Source organism: Homo sapiens, chromosome 12 (genome assembly GCF_000001405.40).
Source record: "Homo sapiens chromosome 12, GRCh38.p14 Primary Assembly".
Lineage (NCBI taxonomy): Eukaryota > Metazoa > Chordata > Mammalia > Primates > Hominidae > Homo > Homo sapiens.
Genome location: NC_000012.12, coordinates 11,350,044 through 11,355,591, shown reverse-complemented (window position 1 = coordinate 11,355,591; position 5,548 = coordinate 11,350,044). Strand labels below are relative to the sequence as shown.

General features: G+C 44.2%; 1 pseudogene across 1 annotated transcript; it reads left to right on the top strand.

Moving 5' to 3' along the window:
- On the top strand, window positions 1-3,771 carry PRB1 (proline rich protein BstNI subfamily 1; annotated as a pseudogene). The gene is made up of 4 exons (NR_160307.2): window positions 1-102; window positions 1,038-1,073; window positions 1,590-2,518; window positions 3,663-3,771. The product of NR_160307.2 is annotated as a proline rich protein BstNI subfamily 1, transcript variant 1, non-coding (transcript).
- The last annotated feature ends 1,777 nt before the right edge of the window (window positions 3,772-5,548 follow it).

Here is a 5,548-nt window from a genome sequence, read left to right as displayed (position 1 = left end):
AGCACAGAGTTGGGAGTGACTCCAGAGCCTCCTGCAAGATGCTGTTGATTCTGCTGTCAGTGGCCTTGCTGGCCCTGAGCTCAGCTCAGAACTTAAATGAAGGTAAAACAGAAGAGGGAAAAGATGTGGTGACTCTGCTTGGGGCTTAGGAGGTGATAATGGTAATTACGGGGAGGAGAGGAGAATGAAAACACAGATGGGGCTGCAGAGTTTTCATGCCTAGGATCAGGAGACCTGTTGTACCCTCATTCCACACTAAGGGTTTCTAATTTATTTAATGTACAATGAAATCCAATAAAGAATTTGTTCCAGGGGAATGAGAAGGTAAGATTTGCATTTATAGATAGAACTGTGCTGTGAAGGATGCAGTAGAGAATGCAAGGCAGATTCATGGAAGTCCAGCTGTGAAGATCCTAAACTGATCTCAGTAAGTACACAGGGATGATGGTGGCCTTGCTGTACAGTGCATCAGCATCGATGATGGCGATAAACACACACAGTATCAGAGATACTGCAGAGACAGAGAATTGGATGGAACACTTGTCTCTGTTTAACTAGAGATACAGAAATATCAGAGCCAATCATTGTCATTTTTCTCTCCCTTACACGCAGTATTTCAATGTGCTGGGAGTGGTATGGGTAAGATTGTATTGAAGTGATTACTTCTGGTTACCCCAATTGAGAAAGCATGTGTACATAAGCAATGTATTTATAGGAAATGGAGGGCATAAGAACACCAAAGTATCACATTGAAGTACCTGGCATGTGTGAACTAAATTAGCATTAAGTCTTGAGGGATGCTAGGGAGGGAAAAAAGGGGCTCTTCTATGTTGAGTTCATGGCTGTTGCTCTGTCATAACAACCCTGTCTCCCCTTACACCTTCCTCCCCTTCCAGCAGCTTCACAGATGGTGGCTGACTAGTTAACTTAGGGGATGCATGGGGTGTCATGAGAAGACCCTTTTCCCTGTAGAACACTTGTGAGTCTTGAAAGGTTCAAGATGTAACTTTTCCCATCATCCTGTGCTTCTCTTCTAGATGTCAGCCAGGAAGAATCTCCCTCCCTAATAGCAGGTAAAGCCTGATTCGTTCTCAATCTGTTTTGACTGTCTTTTTCTGCTTATGAGTGGATCAGTTCTCCAGTGTCTTCTTATCAAAACTTTCCTTTCAGGAGTTGATTAATGTTAGTGCCCCTAACAATATAGGCACTCTTCGTGCAACCTTGATTCTGGGCATCATGAGCAGGCCACCAAATTGAATGGCAGAGATGCTTGGCTTAGATGACAACAGGAGTGTGTTGCCTCATCCCCCCGGCCAGGAATGCCTGCTGGGAGATGACAGAAATGGGCAGCATCCTCATTCTGTCTCCTCTTTATACTGAGAGGCCCTCAACTGCTTTGTTCTTCCCCAGCTTTCCACTCCAGAGTTCTATGTCTTCACTGAAAATGCAAATAAATTAATGTCTTTGTTCCATTTTTGTGTATTTCCCCACTCAGCTTGTTACCCAAGCTGATAAAAATTTACTGCAACTATTCAGTGAATCTTGTGTGGGCTTTTACTCTGTCTTTCTCTTCTCTCTTTGTCCTCCAGGAAATCCACAAGGACCATCCCCACAAGGAGGCAACAAGCCCCAGGGCCCCCCACCTCCTCCAGGAAAGCCACAAGGACCACCCCCACAAGGAGGCAACAAACCTCAAGGTCCCCCACCTCCAGGAAAGCCACAAGGACCACCCCCACAAGGGGACAAGTCCCGAAGTCCCCGATCTCCTCCAGGAAAACCACAAGGACCACCCCCACAAGGAGGTAACCAGCCCCAAGGTCCCCCACCTCCTCCAGGAAAGCCACAAGGACCACCCCCACAAGGAGGCAACAGACCTCAAGGTCCCCCACCTCCAGGAAAGCCACAAGGACCACCCCCACAAGGAGACAAGTCCCGAAGTCCCTGATCTCCTCCAGGAAAGCCACAAGGACCACCCCCACAAGGAGGTAACCAACCCCAAGGTCCCCCACCTCCTCCAGGAAAGCCACAAGGACCACCCCCACAAGGAGGCAAGAAACCTCAGGGTCCCCCACCTCCAGGAAAGCCACAAGGACCACCCCCACAAGGAGACAAGTCCCGAAGTTCCCAATCTCCTCCAGGAAAGCCACAAGGACCACCCCCACAAGGAGGCAACCAGCCCCAAGGTCCCCCACCTCCTCCAGGAAAGCCACAAGGACCACCCCCACAAGGAGGCAACAAACCTCAAGGTCCCCCACCTCCAGGAAAGCCACAAGGACCACCCGCACAAGGAGGCAGCAAGTCCCAAAGTGCCCGATCTCCTCCAGGAAAGCCACAAGGACCACCCCAACAAGAAGGCAACAATCCTCAAGGTCCCCCACCTCCAGCAGGAGGCAATCCCCAGCAGCCTCAGGCACCTCCTGCTGGACAGCCCCAGGGACCACCACGCCCTCCTCAAGGGGGCAGACCTTCCAGACCTCCCCAGTGACAGCCTCCCCAGTCATCTAGGATTCAATGACAGGTATGATTCCAGTTTATTCTTCACCAAGTGCTCTAATTGCTACAGCTCTCCAGCTTTATTGTGCCAATGAATCAGCTAAAAGCCCATTGGCATTGTATAGTCCCAGATCCCATTTCTAAAGATTTGTATTGACATATTCTGGAAATGGGTAACAAGATCCTATATTTGTAACAAACTCTTTAAGGAATTCTGATGTTGAGAAACAAAATTCCAAATAATCTGTCTTAAGTTGTGTTGGCAACAAGGAAGTAGTACCATGTTCTCTCTGGCGCTCTGTTTTCTGTGCACAAACTGAGAGACCTCCCATTTAAAGTTTTCACCTGAGCACTGTTTGCTCAGTCCTGCCTCACACCAGCCTCTTGAGTCCAGTATTCCTGCCAAGTGGTCCCTGAACTTTCAGCAGCTAAATGGTGTCTCATTTTTCAAATTCTTACTGTTCAATAAGTACATGATTAAGCTAACAAAAAATATCTAATGCAATGGAAAAATATGAATCTAAATTTAAAGGCATGACTCATCCTACCTGCCTCCCCTCCTTCAGAAAACTGCCACTGTTAACTTTATGGCATCTTCTGTTTGAAATATTTATGTGTACATAGACTACTAGAATATTTTTCCCCCAGAACTAATACCATAATTTATATTCAGGTACATATGTTAGTCATTTAAAAAATACATTTCTTTGAAAATTTCCACATACGTCTATGAAGCTAAGTAGATCTCTTCAGTGGTTATCTGTTTGTTTTTACCATTTTATACTACTCCATTATGTGGCTGCACCGTGATTTCTTTAACCAATCTGTGTCACTGGACACTGAGGGTGGTTTCAGCTTCTCACTGTTATAAAATATGTTCCAGTTCCCATCTGTGTAAATATATCTGTGAACAAATTCAGCAGCAAGTAATAATAAGCTAAGAATGATCTTCTGTCTTCATCACGTAAGGAACAATTTGGAGCACATTTTGTGCAAGGGCATCCAAAGAGTGAACACACAAAAAATTAGGGAGGAAACACAGGAGGTAGAAGGGATGGGGGAGAGAGGATGGGCTCTCATGTACTGTAGTGCAGTAAGACCAGTGAGGAATTCGACATTTCCTGCCATGTCAAGTCTGGTCTATGAACTTCCTTCTTTGTTTGTTTCAGGAAGTGAATAAGAAGATGAGAGTGATTCAAATGATTCAAATTCCATGACATTGGAAAAAGGTCATCATAGCTCTAACTTCAATATACCAATAAAATAATCAGCTTGCAATTTCTGATTGTGGTGTCTGTTTCTCAATATTTGTGAATGTGGGATCTGAGGACCAAGAAGACTGTATAAGAACATGTAGGAACCCTCCTCCTTGATGCTCCAGGAAACTTCTCTCCTCCTTAATCCTAATTTACCCAGGTGCCATGAAAAAATATTTTACTGTTTCTCTACTTCCCTGACTTCTATTTCCCCCCCCACCCAAGATGGAGTCTTGGTCTATCACCCAGGCTGGAGTGCAGTGGCAGGATCTCGGCTCACTGCCCCCTGCATCTCCTGGGTTCAAGCTATTCTCCTGCCTCAGCCTTCCAAGTATCTGAGATCATAGGTGCTCACCATCATGCTTGGCTAATTTTTGTATTTTTAGTAGAAATGAGGTTTCCCCATGTTGGCCAGGCTGGTCTCCATCCCCTGACCTCTGGTGGTCTGCTTGCCTCGGCCTCTGAAATTGCTGGGTTTATAGGTGTGAGCCACCATGCCTGGCCCTTCCCTGACTTCTATAGCATAAATTGAAATTTTAAAATTATTTTCAGATTGTTTACTGATATTCCAGTGATCTTAAGGACAAAAAACACAACAAATGCAACAAAGTCACAGAAGCTGAATGAAATCCTTATAATTTCTAAGAAACTGAGTTTGGTTTCAAGGGAATGAATATGGCTCTATGCTTCTTATCCCCAGAACCCTGTCTATCTCATTGACCCTATTTTAACAGTGATCACTTCTCTCCCTTCCTGTGTTACTCACCATTCTTTAATGGAACTTGAATGGATTTCATGAAGGAGGCAGCACGATTTTAAGGAGCAAAGAATTTGGACACTCTCAGGTTTTAATTAAGACCTAATTCTTTTTCTTAATATCTCTGGATTCTTAAAAGGCTACTTGGCTTCTCAGGGCTTCAATTTCCTCATCTAAAATGAGCATAATCATAACAACTACCTTAGAGTATGGAGACTAATGAGATAACATACATACCAAAAACCTTGCAGAGACTGGCATGTCTGCTTCTCAAGCAAGGAAGGTTCAATATTAGAAACTGCCTCTCTGCCCACTGATAGTCTCAGATAATTCAGTAAGAAGTCAGAAAAATCAGAACAGAATGATCTCACCATAACCACCACTAAGTTGAGCAACCCATGTTCAGTTGAAACCCAGGTCTCTGGCTTCCCTCCTATTATCATAGGTGAAGCCTTCCTACCCCTATATCTTAACTTCCCACTTTATTCTGAACCACATTGCGTGGTCAGGGATTTTGCCTCTGCATGTGACCCGTTTGTCTCCTGATTCTTACATCTATGCTCTATGGGATTATTTCAATCAGCAAAAGCCTGCTGAAACATCACCCATTTCTATAGAAGTCTTCCTAAGACTGTTAGTGCTTCTTTCCTATCATATTATTTGTCTGCCATTTTTATTGGAAAAGTTCTTGAAACGTATGTATGTGATTATTTCCCCATCCCCCCACCTCCAAATTTTTCTTATGCACACGTTATAGATGCTTTTGTTCTGCCTAGTCACCTGGAAATCACAAAGATATCTATAGCGAACTTTATTGTATTAGGAAATCTTTCTGTAATACATTGGGTCCTAAAAAGATCATGAAAAATGCATATTGCATTTAAAAAGCTCTGCATGGATTCCAAAATTTTTCGAACCAAAATGAACTCAGACGGTATTGTCACAACATGTGTGAACAGGATCTACCTCGCAGCATCAAGAAGTCTAAGACAGTATTTTGAAAAGAGCCTCTATGACAGCAACATGTACTCTGATCAAACTA